General features: G+C 38.2%; 1 long non-coding RNA gene across 1 annotated transcript in view, besides 1 other annotated feature; it reads right to left on the reverse strand.

The window, feature by feature from the left end:
- Positions 1–24,606, reverse strand: part of LOC107985962 (uncharacterized) — a 243,604-nt gene that overhangs the window by 83,830 nt on the left and 135,168 nt on the right. The gene's annotated exons all lie outside the window — the stretch shown is intronic.
- Positions 5,277–5,571: a silencer, noted in NCBI's record as "tiled region #1697; K562 Repressive non-DNase unmatched - State 13:Ctcf". NCBI's record gives its function as "represses a minimal TATA promoter and a strong SV40 promoter by Sharpr-MPRA in K562 cells {active_cell/tissue: K562}" and the evidence as "EXISTENCE:reporter gene assay evidence [ECO:0000049][PMID:27701403]".

Below are 24,606 nucleotides of genomic sequence, written 5' to 3' on the forward strand. Positions count from 1 at the left end.
CAAATCTCCCCTATTTATCAGGCTGACATTTTGAAATTTGGGTTTGCTATGAAAATAGCTTATCCAATGAGAGAGCATTGTGTTGGGCCAATGTCTTTTTTGAGTGCTGTGACTCTCGGTTTCATTGTTCTGTTTTGCTGCAGAATTATCATTGCTATTTTTGAATCACTGCTGTAGACTTGTCAGCTTTGAACCACTCCTCTTGGCTGCATGGGCTCCAGTCGCCTTTTCAATCCTACTGATGAGCCATCCCACGTGTAATATTTTTATGGCTTCTCATCTATTTATAATTGCTTCTCAAAAACTAGAAAATTGTGTTTGTGCCCTACTTTTTTCCCCAACCTACATTACCCCTCTGACTGAAGTAATAACCTGTCATGCTTAAACAATTAGCGTAATGCAGAGGACACTCGGGCCTCCTATACAGTGCTAATGGATCTCCAAATGTGGCTTTAAAAAGTCAGATAAAAATGTGTTTTACATGGGCCAGTGCTGGATTTTGGCAAACCACCTTTACACACACGTTGCTGACATAGGATCATCACGTTGGGTGCTTCCCAAGGGGTGGCAAGCTTCCTCCACCTGAAGTCTGAGACTCAGCAGGGAGATGCCTATGTCTCAAAAACACTACTAGTACATACATCAGAATTGTCATTTTATGCTTAGTGTGACATTATAATAGTATAATGTCCATGTCTTCTAACCAATGCTGATTTCCTGAATATGGTTCTAAGACACATTTCTGGCTTTAATCATGCAAGACTTGCTCTCATTTATTCACTCATTTACTCATTCATTCATTCACTAACTCAAGTATTGATGAGCAAAGTTTCCCAAGGCCCTTATTCCATAATATTCCCAATTTAAGAACTATATTATCAAACATTTCTGCATTGAATTCTGAACCTCTATCTTTTAATAAAAATGTAAATAATGGATGACATTTGTAAGTTCTTAGGGAGAAGCAGCATAATACAGATGTTAAGAGCATGGACTCTGGAGCCAGCGTACATGAGCTTGAATTTTAACTTTGCCACGTAACTAGCTATGTGATCTTAGGGAGACTACTCAACCCCTCTGGGCCTCAGTTTCCTTACCTGTAAAATGGGAATAATTATAGTATCTTTTTTTCATATGGTTGTTATGAGGATTAAATTAGTAAATGCAAGAAAAGCTCTTAAAACAGAGCACACATTAAGTGCTTCTTGTTATTATGCATCAAGCACTGTGCTAAGCATGTCACATAAATTATCTCAATTTAATCTATAACAGAGGGATTTTAAAAAATCCAAGTTTAGAAATGAGAAAACCAAGGCCTTAGAAAGGTTCAGTAACCTGCCCTAGGCTGCGCAGGTATAGTTAGGAGTAGAGCCAAGATTCTAACTCAGGCATTCTGTGAACAGAGCCCATTTGCTTAAGAACTCTGCTATACAGCCCTGACATCAAGCTTTCCAACCAACCTGGGTTAGGTCACGTGTGGTGTGATTTGACTTAGCTTGGGCTCAGTTTATGAAATTATTATAAAAGTAAATAGCCCTTTAGAGAGTGTAGCTCTCTAACCAGCAGCATGGCCTCATGTATAAAACGGAGGGAACTTGACTATCTTCATTAATTTCTTTTTACTTTGCCAGGATTCTTATTGGTGACCGTAGAATTTTTCTGCACTCTGAAAGAGGAATTTAGCAGCAAGGAAAATTGACCTTACTAAATTGGTTGGTATTCATGAAGCAGTTTTATTGAAATAGAACCGAATCACATCAAGGGTTGAAAATGCCCTTTTCAAGTCCTTTAAGTACACACATATATAGATAGATTCAAAGACAAATCCTTGTAATTCCTAATGGATATGGTATGGAAATAGATGCTGAAAAATAACATGCAGATAATGAAATGATGAACTGTTCTGTTATCTCCTCTGAAAAATTCAAACTTTTCCCTCCTTCTGTGCATAGAACATGCAGCAGGAGTGGAGCAGGGCCATGATTTTGCCGGCAGGCTTCACATCCTTCAGGGACCGCCTGACCGTCACACTGCGTAGTTTTACATCCCATCAAATAGATTTTCTTTGTTCAGAAAATAAACATGGGCCTTTTCACATATTGTTTGGCCAGTTATTTTAATTAGAGTAATGTGAGACATTAATTATGACTATCTCTGTTGGGTAGAGAAAAAGTAACTCAAGGAAAAATTAATAACAACACAAATAGTTGAAATAATAGTTAACTTTTTTTGAGTGCTTTCTGTATGCCAAACATTTTCCATACATTATCTAATTTAATTCTTACAACTCTAGAAGTAGGTATTGTTATTATCTCTATATTATAGACAAGGGAATTGAACTGAGGTGCAGAGAGTTGAAGTATCTTACCTAAATGAGGCAAGGACAGCTAACTTTTCACCAAAATTTTTGCACCATCATCCGTAAAATCAAGCTGTCTATGAGAAGCAGCTGCCCAACAAGGGGATACATTTTTCAGCTTCCCGTTCTTCTTGGTGAAGGCATGTGATTAGTCCTTGCCAATAGAAAGCAGTGGGAGGGATGTCTGTGTCTCCCAAGTCAGTAATTACTGACTGTGCCTTCTCCACACTCCCTACTTAACGCTGATTGAATGCAGAAGATACTGAGGTTGTAGAAGGCAGAAGAGCCACAAGAAGAAGAATTCCCATCTCTGAATCACCACATAGAAGACTGCTCATCAGGAACACCAGCACTGGATTGTTATATGAGTGAGAGATAAAATTCTATTGTGTCAAAGTACACATAACTTGGGGTGTATTTGTTACAGCAACCAGCATTATTACCCTAACTAGTACATAAGCCTATCCTGGAGGAGCCAGAAAGCAAATCAAGGGATTCTAGCTCCAGAGTCCACATTTGTAACCACTCTGCTCAGCTGCTTCTCAGCAAAGGAGGCAGTAAGTGCTTCACTCCAGTTCATTCATGGCAGAAATGCAAAGAGAGATAGAGCTGAGACCAAGTCTAAAGTGTTCTTTTGAGGAGAGTGTCTCACTGCGTTGTATTTATCTTTGGCCATTTTGTGTCAAAAAACTTCTACATTATCTTGAAATGCTGCTCACAGGAAGTTAACATTTCTTTTCATTCTTTAAATACAATGTCAGCTCAGATTTCTGAAAACCCACCAAAAATGGCATGATTTGAGAAAGTAAAATAAAATACTTATTCGATGTATATTCCTGAGTGAATTAAGTAATTTTCGATTCTCTAAAATTGAGAAGTGTGCCCCTATGCAGCTACACTCAAAGCCCATAGCACAGACTGGAAGGTGACACACACCAATGGACTTAGGTGCTAACTAAACTCAAGCAATCTGGATTTTCCAGCTCTTGCCCCATGCCACCCCCACGCTTTCTCTCAACCATCATAGTTACCCAGGCCAATGCATACCTTTTTTATGGGCTAAATTTCCTGGATGGTTATAATTTTAAAATCTCTGGCCTCAGAGTGCTGTAATTACCTCCTGATGATGTAATTAGCAACAAAATTTAATGGAGTATCATGGGACACCTAGAACCTTTCCAAATGCATCCACCTCATTTATAAAGGGTTTTGAACCACTTCCACAACCAACTACCCATAAAACCGAGGCTCCCAAGGTGACAGAATTCACCCACTCTTAGTGAACACTGCACACTGACCTATGCAGTAACATTAGGTTGAAGAATATTATAAATGTTGTCAGTGACCAGTAACTCACAAGCAGTCTCATTACCTTACCAGCGGTGAAGGCAGGTGTGCTGAAGTTAGCACCCTGGGATACATTAGACATGATGTAGAGAATTAGTCATTAGTCCCCATCAGGCGTGTTTTTTTCCCACTGTGGAGGATTTAACACGAGAGCTCCAGTGTGAGCTGAGTCTTTCTCTGGCAGCTTAGACGCTGCCTAATGAGAGCAATGCAGACTAGCTCTGAGTTCACATGAGATGGGGATTGTCTTTTCAACCCTGCCGTCACCTGCCACCCCCATCACAGGGAAGGTTGCCAAAGGAGAATCCGGGCACAGTCCTAACATGATGTAAAGGCCCATTCAAACAGCTAGGTGTTCAGCACACATATCTTCTGCCTAGTTTGGGTCTGTTTGCTTTTCCACAGTTTAAAGACTTCAAAATGTGAATGAAAGAAACTGATCAGTAGGTAATTTGGCATGTGTTAAAGGAGAGTTTTGTGGCACCAGGCATAACAATGTTAAACAACAGCAAAATTCTATAATCTGATAACAATTTCACCTCATCATTGAAGAAGTAGCTGCTGAATTTTGGAAGTCCATTGGGATTCTTTGGAAACTTCTAGAGTTAGCGTAGTAGATCAATGGCCTTGAGGCCTTAAATAGAACTTGGGTATACCGATGAGCAAGCCAAGTGCCTAGTTTTTATTGCTGGGATGAGTTCTGACATTTAAGGTCTTCCGTGACTTAGAATGTAATGAGACAACTGCTCCTAAGTAGAGGAATTATGCAGAAATGATATATGACTTGCCTAGAGAGAAAAGTATCCCAGCAAAGAATGTGAGATGGAATATAATCTGGCCCCATTAGAAATCTCTGTAAGAGTAAAGAACGGATTTAATGTTGAATGGGAAATTGAAATACTATATTTCTCAAAATGAAGGCAAAATTCAAAGTTTCAATGTTCTACCTGAACCTGACTTGAGTGTGGCCTCTAAATGATAAAACTGAACTGAGGATCCTGGTAGAAATTCCTTGGAAAGTAAACGCTCCTGCTACCTTTCACTCAGGGCTCTCTTGAACATTGACACCCCCTTGAGGTGGAAAAACTGGTTTTAATATTGGAGTCATCTTTTACTAGCTATCTTTATCCAGGTGTTTATCTCCTCTGAGTCTCATCTGGAAAACAGAAATAATATCCTCTCAATTTACTTCTCAGATACGGAGATTGCATAAGGCAATGTAGGAGATTCCACTTTAAAAAGTGAAAGAACAGCCCTTTCCTAAGTCAGAGAGAGGAGAGGAGCCCATATAGTGATAGCTTTAAGCCCTACTCACGGAAATGGCCTTGACCCTTGGCAGAGTAAGAGTGTGTTTTAAAGGCCAAAGAGTTATAGAAATGATCTGACTTTATACACCAGGTGTTGTATGGCAAACACTAGTCTGAGTGAGGAGATACTAAAATGTGTTATGGGGAAATAAATGGTACAGCTAGTATACATGGCCTGTCCTTCTGAAGTAAGGTGCAGGTTCAGAATGTTTCTTTAGAGGAAGAGTGGCAGAGGCAACATAGAAATCCATCATCATAATGATATATCCACTTCCTTCCTGGTGAATAAAAATGGTGTCTCCTTTAGAAAGTGATCCATGAGTCATGTCCCACCTCTGGCTCCATCAGGTGGACATGAGTTAGAAATTCCCATGGCTCCTCCTTCACTACCCACCCTCTCTTGCTCACCGTGTGAATTCCTTGAGCTACATACCAACAAGAGTCTTTCAATAGCTCTCTCCCGCATTATTGCAGCAGCCTGTAAAGTCTCCTCGTTGCTAGAGATGCCACCTCGAATGCTTTCCTATTCTGAAATACCACATTAAGGAAAATCCATGATTCTCCTTTTATGCCAGTTAAGGGCATCTATAGTGGCCCTCATTCACCTTTCAAAGTTTTCCCAATTCAATGAATGCTTTATTCAAGGTAAACATGTTTTCCAAACATACAGCATATGTCCCGACCTCCCTGACTTTGCCTATACTGCTTCCCTCCTCTTTTTGAGGTGTGACAACCAAACCAAAAGTGTGGTCTTGAGGGTGCCTTATACCTGCCCATATTATTTCCTTCCAACAATGTCCTGCTGAAATGTGTCTCCTACATTAAGCATTTTGAAACCCCCTAGTGGCATTCATCCTTCTCCAATGGTTCTTTAGATTTTGCTCAGAACAGTTAGATTTTTCCCTTGTAACACAGTTATTTCTATGCTTGCTGTATTCCATCTTCCAGACTGTAAATTCTTTTAGTTCAGGGAACTGTGCCTTACCTTTATTTCCTATAATTATCTAATTCAGTAGGTGTTCAATATTTGTTAAGTGGATGGATGTATTAACGAATAAATGAATGAAGTCTTACCTTTCTTCCTTTGCTCATGCTGTTCTACATTAAATGGTTTGTCATTGGCCTCAAAATACCAGCCATCCTTTAAAGTCGAGCTCAAGGCTTATTTGTTCCATAAGGCTTTCCTCAAACTACTTCAGACCCCACCAATCCCTCTGCTGTATTTATAGTCTATATGTCAAGCATCCAGACAGGTGCTCTCCTAAATGTTCACTATCTACTTGAAGAACACTGGTCTTGCTCCTCTAAAACAGTCTTAATTCTGAACTCCATGGATAGGATGAGAGAGACCATGAACTCTTTTAAAACTAAATGCAATTGTTTTTAATGCTCAGGTGCACTAGAGTGTCCAAATCTCCATGGCTCAAAACAGGTTAAAGAACCACTGTCCCATAAGCTCCTTTCTTAGAGCAGAGATGGAGTATGTCCTGGACATCTTTTCTACTTCCCTCAGTAGCTAGCCAAGTGCTGGACTCTCTTTAAATGATTGAAGCATCCCCTTGATGAGACCAATGTCTCTTGACTTCCACCATGTCCCACCTAGCACAGCACCAAGCCTGGGAGGTGGCTGGCAGAGCTTCATAATGGCATTGCAAGTAGGCAAGCAAATAACTCAGGAGTGTGGTGAACTAATGCCTGCATTAGGATGGTAGAAAAGCGCCTGGCCTAATGGTGTTATCTTTCTTTTGAAATTCTATTATCAGACGGGTCAGGCAATGGCAATGCTGCAGGAAAGCATGAGCCCTGGGTAGTTTTGGGTCGTTAAAAATTAAACCTGTAAACGGGTTGATCTCCTCTGGAGGAGGGCCTGGCGCAGCCCTGGAGGCTCTGGGCTGAATCCTCACCACTGCTCCATCTCCTCCCTTTCTGCCTTGCCTGGCCTGCTCTGGCCACCTTGACGCCTCACAGCAGCACCAGGTCTGGAAAGCACCGGAACCCGTATGTGTTGAATTAATATAAAATAAACTTTATAAAGCATAGTGCTTTAGAGAGGTAGTGTTAGCAAAGACATGTCAAAATGTTCACTTGGGGTTGAACAGCAGGACAAAATAAGATATGTTACCAGCTCGAATGCTTTTATATATATAAAAAGATCTATGGAGTCCTTTTAAGTTACAAATGATGACTTAAGCTATTTAACAAAAAGGTTGGTTTTAAACAACAAAACAAAACAGAGGAGGTACAATTGATGATTTTTGTTTTAACAAGCTGAATTCCTCCTGGCTTCTCCTGGCTTAAGTCGTGGTTTGTGTTACCAACCAAAAAAATTATAAGCAGCTAGTGCAATCGTGGTTTCGATAAAACTCTCTGAAGTAATGATGATCCCACCTTATTTAGACAAGTCAGGGGTCAATATGGCCTTATTTGCTTCTGTTTTTCATTAGTGGCACTCTCTCTGTGTAGCATCACACTTCCTACCAGCTCCTTGAATACACAGAGGATTCATGCTTCAGTTCTGCATGTATTAAGAATGCAGCCATAGCAACTACTAGCATTAATGAACTATTTGCTTATGCAGTAATAATTAACTTCCATTACATTACTTTGTGTGATTACTTTCTTAATTGCCTGAATTATGCATCCATTTAATATTTAATAACCATTCTCAGAAATCAGACACTGGTAAAAAACAAATTGCTCACAGTTTCCTTGCAATAATTAAGCTCACAAGAATAAATGAAACCTTTTAAAAACAAATGCCTTGTGATTATATCCTTGCATGTAGAACAAGATCCTAAATTAGTTATTTATTAAATCTAAATTTTAGTCCAAATAGTGCATTTTTCATTTTCACCTCGGGAAATCAACCTGCACAGTACCTGATTTCAACAACAGAATTAAGTGCCTTCTATTTTCTTTGGGAGTCACAAACTGCGTTAATATTTATTACCATGCAAAATTCAAAAGTACTTAAAATATTGTGTGTTTATATTTATTTCAACTTGGCATCTCTTTTACACAAGGTAAGTAAGATGTTTAGGTGGAGATTAAAGTGTTATGAAACGAGATCAATAGCTCTCCATTAAGATGGGCTATTGTGAGCCTCCCCATTATTCTGCTTCCTAACCACCCCGCCCCTGACACACACATACTCACACACAAACCCAAGCCCAACCATTCACCTCAGTGAAAACACACATATGCAATCTGTTTTTAACCAAGCAGAAGGAGACTCATGGCAATTTATCCTCATACATTTTCACTCACAACCAGGCAGTTTGATCTTGCCTTTCCAACTCGCCAGCTAGAGCTCTTAGAACCCCCGTGCCCTTCTGCTGGCACCCAAGCAAAGCCACATGCTGATTTGCAAAGTGATAATGCTATTATCCTATTGTACATCAGCTTCAGTTCCCTCCGGCTTGCAAAGTCATCACTGTTTTAACAAATAAAACGTGCAACTGCTTTATCGCGGGTTTTCTTGGTGAATAGATTCTATTGAATCTGGACAAGACAGCTTTCTTTTTTTTTCTTCCTGGGACTGCATCTGCAAAATTGTTCTGCCATTCCACATTGATTATGGCAGCTATGTACAGACGTGTTTATCTGAACCATAACCATGTTAGGCTTAAGCTACAGGGACACTGGGATATTATTTACCCACTGTTACCCTGTGCATACATAATATACACAAAATAATGTGTGTCGCATGAAAAGAGGGAGGGAAAGTTTAAAGCATTTTGTACCAAATGGGCTCATCCAGAAAAATAAGTGCAGCCTAAGAAATTACATATGGAGTGCCAAGTGAGTAACTGAGATGAACCATTTTCCTACCAGCGAGGAGAATCTTTTTCCAAGGCATGGAAATAGCCATGGGGAAGGGGTAGCACTGGGGACGGGGTTGATTTGTGGAGAAAAACTGGAGTTTAGGGTGTTGCAAGTCAACAATGGCTGTTATTCTGAGTTTCTAAACTGAGCTAAATTGATGCCAATCTTGCTGACTGTTGTTACAGTGGGCAGAGTCATTAGGATTTGCTTTTTAAATGATCTCTCAGCCTGTAAGGCTGAGAGCTGCTAGCAAGGCAAGGTTAGAGAGAAAATGATAGCAGTATGTTGATGCTTCACAGACCTCATGATAGTTTCCGTCTGTCATTATTTACGTCTGACTAGATGCGTCATGTCAGCTACCTAGAAGGCACTTTAATATGAAGCTCTTGTTTGCCTCCACTCTTGCGCAGCCAGACTGGGATACTATTATTTTTGCATCACTACACTTAGGTGAAGCTTGCTTCAATCTTTCAGTAATGACACACAAAAGAAGTAAAAATGGTTGTGTCCAAGTTATTATACATGCTTGTATTCTAACAGGCCTCGTCAGCATTGCTCAGAAAAAGAAAAAAGTGAATTTAAATCAATAAACAGACATTTATTAAAAGGTCAGCTTAATTCTATTTGTTCCAGCTCCTTTGCCAACATTTTAGGTAAAACTATTTTTCTTTGGCTTTGGATTAGTGTCATTGTTATTGGATGGAATCACTTAGGGGGAAGCTATAGAATGAATATTTGATCAAATTTGCTCATGTTGCTTAATATCATCTTATATCATTTTTATAAATTTTATCAGCATCACTGTAAATAAATCCACATGAAAAGCTTTCATTTTGTATCTATATTATTGGCATCACTAAGGACACATTTTTAAACAATGTGCATTTATCTGAAAACTATATATAGAGAGAGAAAGGCCTAATAACAGTGATTCTGAAATCCAAGATGGCTATTTTATACATCAGAAAAAAAATACTATTATGGCAAAAAATGAACGAGGATATTGATGTTTTCTTTCATCAAGATTGTCTTAACAAATGAAGCTACCACTATTCTATAACTGTCCCTAGCAGAGAAAAGAAATGTTAATTGAAGATATTCTAGAATGTTGAAATTTATTGACACCATTTCATACTGAAAACTGCAACATAGTTTTAGCAGGAGGCACATTTTAACAATGCCAAAATATTCTAGGTGACTTTTTCTTTGTGCTTTAAAAAATATAATAAATATAAGCAGATTTTAGTATGAATGAAACAATCTACAAATATATTTGTAAATACAAAAGCATATAAAGATATACAATACATCAGTAATAACACATAAACAGTTTGCAATTTTTTATATGCATAATTTAGTACAAAGGCTTGAAAAGGTACAATTTTAAAAATAAAATAACTCACATAGACTCATGTAGACATTTTTTAAAATGTGCCTTAGGAATGACATGTTTATAAAGTTTCCACCAAGATTCTATATTTAAACAGTAAATAGCATTGTCACATCCGGAAAATGAGTTATTACTCTGAATTAAGAAATTTAGATAATAGAGAGAAAAAAATGCACAACCATTCTGCCTTCTGAACTTTAAGCATTTAACAGAATATCATGACTGCTGCAGTGTTAACTGAACAGATTTCTATCAAAAGTCTGGGGCATTCTGAATTAGCTGGAGATGGCTAGTACTTGATCTCCTTATTTTGACAGAATAAGTGCTTATATTCTTGAAGTCTTCACAAGCCATGTAAGCATAAAAGTGTGATGATGGAGATCTCTTTTCCGTTTTAAAGATCAGATGCCAGCTTCATGAGATGATATTTTCAGGTTGATGCATTTGTGTTTGTGGCATATTTTTATAAATTTCAAGTATAATGCTTTGTCAGGACTAAATGAAATGCCCTGTGCATACATATATATACATGCATATATATACACATGTATATATGTGTGTATATATATATGTGTGTGTATATATATATTAGAATGCCTTATAATTTGCATTTTTAACCACTGGGCTCTCATAAACTACTATGACAAATACAGTAATTTGAAATGGAATCAATCACATTCTCTCAATCCCTTAAAATGTTTAAATAGTTACATTACAGCACATATGTTAAAATACTTTTTTACAAAATGGTTTGCCCAAGGCATTTTTCTTACCTCTTGCCCAAGCTACATGTGAGTTATGGCAAAAAATGAACAGTAGGTGGCAGTCAAACCACTAAACTGCCTCAAAGCTTCATTAACCTTAGACTCTTGTTAAGAGTAATAGGAAAGTAGTGTATTTTTCCATTTTAAAGAATTCATTTTATAATTAATCTTGAAATACATTTCTAAGGTCCCAAGCTGCTGAAATAGTGAGCTGATTGCATCCTTAAGCGAATGAGCTCAGATAAAAGTGATTTAATTCAAGAACCATTTCTGCTTTGTCTCTGTGACTTTTTTCCCCTTCATTTCTCTGTTATTACTGTTTTAATGTGGGTCTTTATGCAGTTGTAGTTGTGGACATGATCAGCACATTCTTGGGCTGAAGCCCAGGGCTGTGTAAGCCGTGCCTGCATATCTTCATGCACGTTTTAAATAACCTGCAAGAGCTATTTCCTCCCCTGATCTTACAGACCACACGAATATAGTCCCTTTCTGTGCATCAGAAGATAAACTAGTTTATAGGAAGAAAATCCTAGAGAAGTAACTGAAACACAGAAAGAACATCCTCAAAAGCAGAGGATTGTGAACAACTAAATTTTCAGACAATGGAAGTAAAAATTATTAGTGTGAAGTACCTTTGGAGGCCATGTTATCTACATTACAGGAAGGGCTTCATCTGTTGTGCTCACCATGGTCCTCACGGTTGAGAACAGCATGCCAGGCACACAGTAAATGTTCATTAAATATTTTCTGGACGAATCAATGAGTGGCCAAAATCCAAGTCCCACTCATTTCTCAGATAGTCTATCCTGAAACTTTTTGCTACTGTCTCAGCTCTTCACAATGATAAAGCTACATTCTCACTCTCCACTGCTGTCCTTTCTCCAAATGTTACTGTTAATCACTATCATTGGGAACTGACATGGCACCACTAACACAACACAGCAGGACACAATTCTAGTCTGGTCGATTTGGAATGTAGATGATGCCTTTCCATTGTGTTACTGGCCACAATTGTTTCTAAAAATCTAAGTTCATGCTACAGAAAGAGCAAACTATTTAAGTAGTATTGGCCTAAAAGCTAAGTCAACTTGATCAACATATTTACCTGCCCATGCTGTAGTTTCCTCATCTGAAATCAGAAAAAAACAGAGCCTACTTTATAGAGTTATATGTGTTTCAATATTGTTATTATTATTATTATTATTATTTTCAAAGGCTTTTTCTGCATCTATTGAGATAATCATGTGGTTTTTGTCTTTGGCTCTGTTTATATGCTGGATTACATTTATTGATTTGCGTATATTGAACCAGCCTTGCATCCCAGGGATGAAGCCCACTTGATCATGGTGGATAAGCTTTTTGATGTGCTGCTGGATTCGTTTTGCCAGTATTTTATTGAGGATTTTTGCATCAATGTTCATCAAGGATATTGGTCGAAAATTCTCTTTTTTGGTTGTGTCTCTGCCCGGCTTTGGTATCAGGATGATGCTGGCTTCATAAAATGAGTTAGGGAGGATTCCCTCTTTTTCTATTAATTGGAATAGTTTCAGAAGGAATGGTACCAGTTCCTCCTTGTACCTCTGGTAGAATTCGGCTGTGAATCCATCTGGTCCTGGACTCTTTTTGGTTGGTAAGCTATTGATTATTGCCACAATTTCAGATCCTGTTATTGGTCTATTCAGAGATTCAACTTCTTCCTGGTTTAGTCTTGGGAGAGTGTATGTGTCGAGGAATTTATCCATTTCTTCTAGGTTTTCTAGTTTATTTGCGTAGAGGTGTTTGTAGTATTCTCTGATGGTAGTTTGTATTTCTGTGGGATCGGTGGTGATATCCCCTTTATCATTTTTTATTGTGTCTATTTGATTCTTCTCTCTTTTTTTCTTTATTAGTCTTGCTAGTGGTCTATCAATTTTGTTGATCCTTTCAAAAAACCAGCTCCTGGATTCATTAATTTTTTGAAGGGTTTTTTGTGTCTCTGTTTCCTTCAGTTCTGCTCTGATTTTAGTTATTTCTTGCCTTCTGCTAGCTTTTGAATGTGTTTGCTCTTGCTTTTCTAGTTCTTTTAATTGTGATGTTAGGGTGTCAATTTTGGATCTTTCCTGCTTTCTCTTGTGGGCATTTAGTGCTATAAATTTCCCTCTACACACTGCTTTGAATGCGTCCCAGAGATTCTGGTATGTTGTGTCTTTGTTCTCATTGGTTTCAAAGAACATCTTTATTTCTGCCTTCATTTCGTTATGTACCCAGTAGTCATTCAGGAGCAGGATGTTCAGTTTCCATGTAGTTGAGCGGTTTTGAGTGAGATTCTTAATCCTGAGTTCTAGTTTGATTGCACTGTGGTCTGAGAGATAGTTTGTTATAATCTCTGTTCTTTTACATTTGCTGAGGAGAGCTTTACTTCCAAGTATGTGGTCAATTTTGGAATAGGTGTGGTGCGGTGCTGAAAAAAATGTATATTCTGTTGATCTGGGGTGGAGAGTTCTGTAGATGTCTATTAGGTCTGCTTGGTGCAGAGCTGAGTTCAATTCCTGGGTATCCTTGTTGACTTTCTGTCTCGTTGATCTGTCTAATGTTGACAGTGGGGTGTTAAAGTCTCCCATTATTAATGTGTGGGAGTCTAAGTCTCTTTGTAGGTCACTCAGGACTTGCTTTATGAATCTGGGTGCTCCTGTATTGGGTGCATATATATTTAGGATAGTTAGCTCTTCTTGTTGAATTGATCCCTTTACCATTATGTAATGGCCTTCTTTGTCTCTTTTGATCTTTGTTGGTTTAAAGTCTGTTTTATCAGAGACTAGGATGGCAACCCCTGCCTTTTTTTGTTTTCCATTTGCTTGGTAGATCTTCCTCCATCCTTTTATTTTGAGCCTATGTGTGTCTCTGCACGTGAGATGGGTTTCCTGAATACAGCACACTGATGGGTCTTGACTCTTTATCCAATTTGCCAGTCTGTGTCTTTTAATTGGAGCGTTTAGTCCATTTACATTTAAAGTTAATATTGTTATGTGTGAATTTGATCCTGTCATTATGATGTTAGCTGGTGATTTTGCTCGTTAGTTGATGCAGTTTCTTCCTAGTCTCGATGGTCTTTACATTTTGGCTTGATTTTGCAGCGGCTGGTACCGGTTGTTCCTTTCCATGTTTAGCGCTTCCTTCAGGAGCTCTTTTAGGGCAGGCCTGGTGGTGACAAAATCTCTCAGCATTTGCTTGTCTGTAAAGGATTTTATTTCTCCTTCACTTATGAAGCTTAGTTTGTCTGGATATGAAATTCTGGGTTGAAAATTCTTTTCTTTAAGAATGTTGAATATTGGCCCCCACTCTCTTCTGGCTTGTAGGGTTTCTGCCGAGAGATCCACTGTTAGTCTGATGGGCTTCCCTTTGAGGGTAATCCGACCTTTCTCTCTGGCTGCCCTTAACATTTTTTCCTTCATTTCAACTTTGGTGAATCTGATAATTATGTGTCTTGGAGTTGCTCTTCTCGAGGAGTATCTCTGTGGCATTCTCTGTATTTCCTGAATCTGAACGTTGGCCTGCCTTGCTAGATTGGGGAAGTTCTCCTGGATAATATCCTGCAGAGTGTTTTCCAACTTGGTTCCATTCTCCCCATCACTTTCAGGTACACCAATCAGACGTAGATTTGGTCTTTTCACATAGTCCCATATTTCTTGGAGGCTTTGCTCATTTCTTTTTATTCTTTTTTCTCTAAACTTCCCTTCTCGCTTCATTTCATTCATTTCATCTTCCATCACTGATACCCTTTCTTCCAGTTGATTGCATCGGCTCCTGAGGCTTCTGCATTCTTCACGTAGTTCTCGAGCCTTGGTTTTCAGCTCCATCAGCTCCTTTAAGCACTTCTCTGTATTGGTTATTCTAGTTATACATTCTTCTAAATTTTTTTCAAACTTTTCAACTTCTTTGCCTTTGGTTTGAATGTCCTCCCGTAGCTCAGAGTAATTTGATCATCTGAAGCCTTCTTCTCTCAGCTCGTCAAAGTCATTCTCCATCCAGCTTTGTTCCGTTGCTGGTGAGGAACTGCGTTCCTTTGGAGGAGGAGAGGCGCTCTGTGTTTTAGAGTTTCCAGTTTTTCTGTTCTGTTTTTTCCCCATCTTTGTGGTTTTATCTACTTTTGGTCTTTGATGATGGTGATGTACAGATGGGTTTTTGGTGTGGATGTCCTTTCTGTTTGTTAGTTTTCCTTCTAACAGACAGGACCCTCAGCTGCAGGTCTGTTGGAATACCCTGCCGTGTGAGGTGTCAGTGTGCGCCTGCTGGGGGGTGCCTCCCAGTTAGGCTGCTCGGGGGTCAGGGGTCAGGGACCCATTTGAGGAGGCAGTCTGCCCGTTCTCAGATCTCCAGCTGCGTGCTGGGAGAACCACTGCTCCAGTATTTTTATTATTTACTACTGACCCATGCATAACACTTTACAAAACACATAACACTTTACAAAACAATTTTTATTCACCCCTATTTGTGTATGTCATGAGAATCCTTGTGACAGTAACTGGACTTGGTCATGCAAAGAAAGACTTGCATAATAGAATATCCAGGAGACTCTCAAAAATGAAGTATAATATGGAAAATAATATGCTTTAAATTGACCAAAAGCTTGATTTTCTTTTCTCTCTCTCCTTTTTTTTCACCCAGTTTCAGGGATAGTCAGGAAATAATTAACATTCCTACACCTCCCTCCAGTTGACCTGAGAGGTGAGGATGCTCTCCCATCCCCATGCTTCCTCACATCTCAGGCCAACTGATCTCTGAAAATGGTTTCCAAACATTGAGAACTCACCTCAAACCAGGACTCAAAAATTCTCATCAATTTTGATTTTTAAAAAATCTATACTGTAGGTCATTAAAATGACCACTTTCAGGACAATTAGTTCTAGAAGGACGCATTATAAGGTGATTTCTTGTTATCCTTCCTTGAAACAGATAGCTGCATTTTGTCAAAAATAAATTCAGATCCCAAGGGGGCCTAAGTTTAGTTCAAACCATCAGAAAGGAGGCGACTCAAGCTGTGTTTACAATCTGGCAGTTTACTTCCTTCGTATGTAGCTAGCAGTGGGCAAGCCTTGCACATCGGATTTTAAGGTTAACAGTAAGAAGCATTTTCTAATCTCACTGAGAATTTAAGGAAATAAAACCCTTTTCTTCAACTTATTCATTCTTTTCTTCCTATGGCAAACACTCCACAGTATTTTTAGTAAAGAAATGTGAACTAGTCAGTGTCTAAAAAAAAAAAAATCAGTAATTTGATAACGTTCTGAGACATAGGCTCTCTTTTTTCTAGAATCTTGTATTCTTTTAGGTGACTCTTTGAGGAAGGAGGTCAAAATATTGAGTGTGAGCAATTTAAATAGGAGACATTGAGTAATTTAAAAATGAGACATTCAGTACAAGACTCATTCATTTAAATTACATGAAAATCCAAGGTAGACTGTGTGTAATTAGGGGCTGTGTAAGTCCTCAGACAATTTCAGTGGGGGTTAGGAGATTGCTTTAATAGACTATGACAAGTTTCCTTTTGTTTTTCATAAAATAATTGTATTCCCCCTTGAAATGTAACAAATCCTTAATGAAATCACAGCCTCTTTCTTGTTAGGGAGTACTTTTTATGTTTTGAGAGATCAACAATGTCAAAACAATTACTTCAAATTAATGATGGATGAACCTCAAAAGATTCAGAGGTTGATTACGTCAAAGATATGAAGCCTCACATGAACCTCCGTGAAGCCTGTGGTCAAAATCTCACCTGATACGGTGCTCCCATGAGAGGCATAAGGGCGGAAAGCAACACAGCATTGGATAGGGAAAAATACTGGGCAGAGAGTAAGTCTGATTTTTACTGGTTCTGTTATCCACTTCCTGGATTACCCCAAGCAAATAACTAAGAGTCTCTGGACTTACTCTTCTAGTTGGATTTCTTTTATTTTTTGCTTATTTGTTGAGGGGTTGCTTATTTGTAATGTGAAATAAGTAATTTTCTGTGACATTGCTGTGATAAGTAATTTTCTTTTGACTTTTTGGACCAAAAAGGGTATTTTTATGGTTTATACATATAAAGTAAAACCCATCGGTGGATTAGTTTCTGCTAAGCTAGAAACACATTTTCACTTGGTCCTCAGATAGTGAAATTATAAGTAAGTTCTGGTCAGGTTTGCAAGCAAAATCATGGTGGTAACTGTGCATATTATAGCCAATGCCACACATATTCCTCTGATTCATTAATAACTAAGAGAATGGAGGAAAGAAGGAGCAAACCAAAAATTTGCTTTATAAATAAGTCATGCCAAACCAGTCTCCTTTCTTTGTGTTAATATGTGGATAATCAGTGTTGTCAATACAGAATCTTTGCAAAGTGGATATCTTAATTTCAAACACAAAATTCAATAGCTTGTACTATTATGGACTAGATAAATAAATTCAGGCAGGATGATAATGTAAACCAAAAGTGCTCTGTAATTGTTCCAGTCTTGTTTGGCTTTTTATTTTCTCTGTGGTTAGGTTGAAGTCATAAAAGATGTACCTATCAAACCTTTAAAGAACAAAAAAAGACTGTAAGGGATACTTGCTATGTTGGACGACATCATCAAGATTCAAGGAACTTAATAGGATGGAGGATATGCTAAAATAAATCAGATGAATTTAAACAGGGATAGAGTCCCATCATTTAGGTTCTAATACATAAAACATACACACTGCACATACGTATATAAGAGAGAAGGGACGTTGGTTTTTAGTAGTTCTGGCCCTGGTCATATATGACTAAAAGTTCTGAATGAACTACCAGTGTAGCATGGCTGCCAAAAATATAAATGCAATGGCAACTAACACATGGACTTGTGTGTCAGGCACTTTTCTAAATTACTCATGAGCATGATTTTATTTATTCCTGTTATCATTGTTTTATAGATTAATAAACTGAAGTAGAGAAAGCGTAGGTAACTTCTCCCGAGGCAGAGTCAGGATGACGACGGCAGTGCCTGTCCCCAGAGCCCACTCTTGGAATTTCTGCTTATACAGGCCTTTCAGCTCCGGGAGAGTTCCTGCCCACTGTTCTCTGAGCTGGAATCTGGCTCTCTGTTCCCTGTACTTTTTAAGATGGACAGGGAAAGAAGACACCATAAACATCAAGAGGCAAAGCTGTAGGAAACAGAGATGCTTGCCTGGAGGGGAAAAGCTTGGGGAAGTCACAAGAGGTGTTATCAGATATCTAGACTAGAACTTGTCAAGGAAAACGTTCCACTTCTTTATGTATTCCCATAGGGAATGGAAGTCACAGGGAGGCAAAATTTAACCCAATATATGTTCTCACCACATAAATGATCCCAACTAGCATGTGCTGCCATGTGAGATAGTGAGCATCTCATCTGTGGAAATTGTCAAGAGGAAGCCAGATCAAGGAGCAGTGCCAAGCAGCACTGGGGGCAACCAGAGAGCTCCTAGGGAGCCTTCCGAGATGCAAAGGTTTGGATGATCAAGGAAAAGCTTGAAGTAGAAAGACTGTCTTTGTGAACTACTTCACTCCCTCCACTCAACAAACACACACACATACAAACTTTCCTCTGTCTCCATCTGTATCCTTACATGGTAACAATTGCACTGGGTTTGCAGCTAATAGATCTGAATTCTTACTAACATTTTACTCAAACACCTCTGCCCCCTTAATTTCTCTACCTGTGAATAAGAAAAAGGGGAGGAATTTGAAAAGATGGATAGAAGGAAGATGGAAGAAGGAAGGGGGGAAGGAGGGAAGGAAGGAAGGAGGGAAGGAAGGAAGGAAGGAGAATGTAAGAAAAATAGATCTGGTCATGCTTCTCTCTTCATACTTCTCAAGACTTTTGTGAGACCACAGTGATATAATAGATTAGTAAGAGTTTTGAGGAAGAGAAATAGACATTTGAAGCACTGTGTAAATTCACACTACTGAAGGATTTTTTGTGTGCAGCAGTTTGGCTCCATGCCCTGTGTGACTCCTAGGTCATGGGTTTGTTCCATATGAATGGGTTAATTACATCCTGTCCTCTGACCACATGCTCTGTGCCCAAGTCAAACTTGGCATCTGGTGAATGGCTGTTCTGTGCCAGGGACTGTGGGAAAGAGTGAGAAGAACTCAGTACAAAGCTGTCTCCACCAACAAGAAACAGGTCAAAATGAAATTTTTAATCACCGTGCATAGTGGCATCATCTCAATACATAAAGGACTGCTCTTTTAATAATGGAAAACTTTTCTGCAAGTGGGGAGATTTTACATTTAGATGAAATACATTAAAATGAAAAATATATACATATGCATACACGTGTGTGTGTGTTATACAAAAATCTCGATGTAGAAATTTAAAAAAATAGATACCAAGGCCCATTACTCAGTTTTTAATGTATTCCCAGACAATGAAATATATGAACCTTTATTACTGGTCATCAATATCTAGCATCTACCTTTTTTACTCACCAACTTTAAAATAAAGCTATAGAAATCATAGGCGATTATACAATAAAACAACACAAGTCTTCTAAACAATTTTAAAATTCAATTTTAAACTTAACTAATCAAATGCTACTATTTACACATCTGGAATGAAAACATAAACCAGTTCATTATAAACATAATAACCTCAAGGAGTTGGATATTATATCTATAAGTAAGATAACAGATGTGGTATAAATGTAGAAACTGGAAGTGGGGTGCTTTATTTTTCAATTTCCCTAGATTTACATTAAGGAAGTACAAACCTTGAAATCACAACTGTAATATAGAAGTTAAAAAGTATTCAATTCTTTAGCTAAGAATTGGCTTGGGTGGAAAAGCCTTACATATATCTCAAAAGGGCAAACTAAAGAGAAATAATATATTAACTAGAGTTGGGGTACAAATATCAAGAATAACAAAACATATTGAAAGAATTAATTAAATTGACAAAACCTCAATTAAAATGGGAGTTTTTCATCTTGAAATCTTCTTATGCTGCAGATTACACCGATTTTTAAAGATAGCTTAAATATTATTCTAGAAATATTTTGTATTTCCTCTGCAATTACTTGGAAAGTTATGAATATTTAGAACAAAGGGCTAAATACCCTAGTTTACAACTGCAATGGGAAGCCTTTTGGGGCTGTGGGGGAAATGGCTAGCAGTCCACCAACAGTTTCCCTTCTTTTCTTCCTGAGCATGGAGCTAGGTTACATTTCTCAGCTTCTCTTGCAAATAGATGTGGCCATGTGACCAGACTGACACCAATGAGCAGAGCTGATGAGAGCAATTTTCAAATCACATGCTTAAGAGGGCATTCTTGGCTCTGGACTTCTGCTCCTCACCCTTCTTCAAAGCTCCTAACTTCCTTCCAGTGACCAGAATTGGGAAACTCTGTGCAGAACTACCTGATGCAGATGGCAGGGCTACTGTCAGTCAAGTCCCTGATGAAGTGGACAGATCTGCCCCATCCACCTGAATCTCTCACCTTGGAACTATTATGTATGAGAGAAATAAACATTTTTTGTTTTTTAAGCTATCTTAGTATTAGGTCTCTTGCTATAGCAGCTTAGCATTTTGGAAAACTCAACATAAACTTTTCCAAAAGAAATTTACCTAATTAATCTACAAGTTTTCAGAATTATTTTCATTATTTTCATGCACACAAAAATGTTGGGCTTTGGGGAGAGACTTGAATTAAATATTTCTACGAAATTTACTTTCATTGAAAAGGAACATATAAAATGATATGTTTCTATAATAACTCTAAAAGTTAACTAGATTCTTTATCTTAGGTTTTTGTTGTATTTTTATTATGTTCATTTCATTTAATCATAAGACTGTGAGCTTTTATAAAAGCAGAGTAAATTATCTGAGTTCTGAGAATTTGAATGAGAACTCTTTTTTTACAAAATACCATTTTTATTATTGAATGACTTATTACCATATCTGGCAGCCCTAGGTTTTAAGAAGAAAAATGTAGTTCACTACAAAAAATAATAACAATATTAAATAAGAGGCTAAGATTTCAACAGCAATAGACAGAATTCCATAATATAAGAAGACACATAGTTGAAAAATTGTACATTCTAAAATTATGACTAGAAACTTAACAATGTCAAATGTCTATATTTTACATTCTTTTTTTATTTTTTTATTTTTTTATTTTTATTTTTTATACTTTAAGTTTTAGGGTACATGTGCACATTGTGCAGGTTAATTACATATGTATACATGTGACATTGCTGGTGCGCTGCACCCACTAACTGGTCATCTAGCATTAAGTATATCTCCCAATGCTATCCCTCCCCCCTCCCCCCACCCCACCACAGGCCCCAGAGTGTGATAGTCCCCTTCCTGTGTCCATGTGATCTCATTGTTCAATTCCCACCTATGAGTGAGAATATGCTGTGTTTGGTTTTTTGTTCTTGTGATAGTTTACTGAGAATGATGATTTCCAATTTCATCCATGTCCCTACAAAGGACATGAACTCATCATTTTTTATGGCTGCATAGTATTCCATGGTGTATATGTGCCACATTTTCTTAATCCAGTCTATCGTTGTTGGACATTTGGGTTGGTTCCAAGTCTTTGCTATTGTGAATAATGCCGCAATAAACATACGTGTGCATGTGTCTTTATAGCAGCATGATTTATAGTCCTTTGGGTATATACCCAGTAATGGGATGGCTGGGTCAAATGGTATTTCTAGTTCTAGATCCCTGAGGAATCGCCACACTGACTTCCACAATGGTTGAACCAGTTTACAGTCCCACCAACAGTGTAAAAGTGTTCCTATTTCTCCACATCCTCTCCAGTACCTGTTGTTTCCTGACTTTTTAATGATTGCCATTCTAACTGGTGTGAGATGGTATCTCACTGTGGTTTTGATTTGCATTTCTCTGATGGCCAGTGATGATGAGCATTTTTTCATGTGTTTTTTGGCTGCATAAATGTCTTCTTTTGAGAAGTGTCTGTTCAAGTCCTTCGCCCACTTTTTGATGGGGTTGTTTGTTTTTTTCTTGTAAATTTGTTTGAGTTCATTGTAGATTCTGGATATTAGCCCTTTGTCAGATGAGTAGGTTGCAAAAATTTTCTCCCATTTTGTAGGTTGCCTGTTCACTCTGATGGTAGTTTCTTTTGCTGTGCAGAAGCTCTTTAGTTTAATTAGATCCCATTTGTCAATTTTCTCTTTTGTTGCCATTGCTTTTGGTGTTTTGTACATGAAGTCCTTGCCCATGCCTGTGTCCTGAATGGTAATGCCTAGGTTTTCTTCTAGGGTTTTTATGGTTTTAGGTCTAATGTTTAAGTCTTTAATCCATCTTGAATTCATTTTTGTATAAGGTGTAAGGAAGGGATCCAGTTTCAGCTTTCTACATATGGCTAGCCCGTTTTCCCAGCACCATTTATTAAATAGGGAATCCTTACCCCATTGCTTGTTTTTCTCAGGTTTGTCAAAGATCGGATAGTTGTAGATATGCGGCGTTATTTCTGAGGGCTCTGTTCTGTTCCATTGATCTATATCTCTGTTTTGGTACCAGTACCATGCTGTTTTGGTTACCGTAGCCTTGTAGTTAAGTTTGAAGTCAGGTAGTGTGATGCCTCCAGCTTTGTTCTTTTGGCTTAGGATTGACTTGGCGATGCGGGCTCTTTTTTGGTTCCATATGAACTTTAAAGTAGTTTTTTCCAATTCTGTGAAGAAAGTCATTGGTAGCTTGATGGGGATGGCATTGAATCTGTAAATTACCTTGGGCAGTATGGTAATTTGACTTCCTCTTTTCCTAATTGAATACCCTTTATTTCCTTCTCCTGCCTAATTGCCCTGGCCAGAACTTCCGACACTATGTTGAATAGGAGTGGTAAGAGAGGGCATCCCTGTCTTGTGCCAGTTTTCAAAGGGAATGCTTCCAGTTTTTGCCCATTCAGTATGATATTGGCTGTGGGTTTGTCAGAGATAGCTCTTATTATTTTGAAATACGTCCCATCAATACCTAATTTATTGAGAGTTTTTAGCATGAAGGGTTGTTGAATTTTGTCAAAGGCTTTTTCTGCATCTACTGAGACAATCATGTGGTTTTTGTCTTTGGCTCTGTTTATATGCTGGATTACATTTATTGATTTGCGTATATTGAACCAGCCTTGCATCCCAGGGATGAAGCCCACTTGATCATGGTGGATAAGCTTTTTGATGTGCTGCTGGATTTGGTTTGCCAGTATTTTATTGAGGATTTTTGCATCAATGTTCATCAAGGATATTGGTCTAAAATTCTCTTTTTTGGTTGTGTCTCTGCCTGGCATTGGTATCAGAATGATGCTGGCCTCATAAAATGAGTTAGGGAGGGTTCCCTCTTTTTCTATTGATTGGAATAGTTTCAGAAGGAATGGTACCAGTTCCTCCTTGTACCTCTGGTAGAATTCGGCTGTGAATCCATCTGGTCCTGGACTCTTTTTGGTTGGTAAGCTATTGATTATTGCCACAATTTCAGATCCTGTTATTGGTCTATTCAGAGATTCAACTTCTTCCTGGTTTAGTCTTGGGAGAGTGTATGTGTCGAGGAATTTATCCATTTCTTCTAGGTTTTCTAGTTTATTTGTGTAGAGGTGTTTGTAGTATTCTCTGATGGTAGTTTGTATTTCTGTGGGATCGGTGGTGATATCCCCTTTATCATTTTTTATTGTGTCTATTTGATTCTTCTCTCTTTTTTTCTTTATTAGTCTTGCTAGCGGTCTATCAATTTTGTTGATCCTTTCAAAAAACCAGCTCCTGGATTCATTAATTTTTTTGAAGGGTTTTTTGTGTCTCTATTTCCTTCAGTTCTGCTCTGATTTTAGTTATTTCTTGCCTTCTGCTAGCTTTTGAGCTATTTATTTTATTTTAGTTTATGTAGCTATTTATTTTAAGCTATTTTAAGCTATTTTAGCTTCTGCTATTCTTTTAAGAATGTTGAATATTGGCCCCCACTCTCTTCTGGCTTATAGGGTTTCTGCCGAGAGATCCGCTGTTAGTCTGATGGGCTTCCCTTTGAGGGTAATCCGACCTTTCTCTCTGGCTGCCCTTAACATTTTTTCCTTCATTTCAACTTTGGTGAATCTGACAATTATATGTCTTGGAGTTGCTCTTCTCGAGGAGTATCTCTGTGGCGTTCTCCGTATTTCCTGAATCTGAACGTTGGCCTGCCTTGCTAGATTGGGGAAGTTCTCCTGGATAATATCCTGCAGAGTGTTTTCCAACTTGCTTCCATTCTCCCCATCACTTTCAGGTACACCAATCAGACGTAGATTTGGTCTTTTCACATAGTCCCATATTTCTTGGAGGCTTTGCTCATTTCTTTTTATTCTTTTTTCTCTAAACTTCCCTTCTCGCTTCATTTCATTCATTTCATCTTCCATCGCTGATACCCATTCTTCCAGTTGATCGCATCGGCTCCTGAGGCTTCTGCATTCTTCACGTAGTTCTCGAGCCTTGGTTTTCAGCTCCATCAGCTCCTTTAAGCACTTCTCTGTATTGGTTATTCTAGTTATACATTCTTCTAAATTTTTTTCAAACTTTTCAACTTCTTTGCCTTTGGTTTGAATATCCTCCCATAGCTCAGAGTAATTTGATCATCTGAAGCCTTCTTCTCTCAGCTCGTCAAAGTCATTC

The sequence above is a fragment of the Homo sapiens genome, chromosome 2 (assembly GCF_000001405.40).
Source record: "Homo sapiens chromosome 2, GRCh38.p14 Primary Assembly".
NCBI lineage: Eukaryota > Metazoa > Chordata > Mammalia > Primates > Hominidae > Homo > Homo sapiens.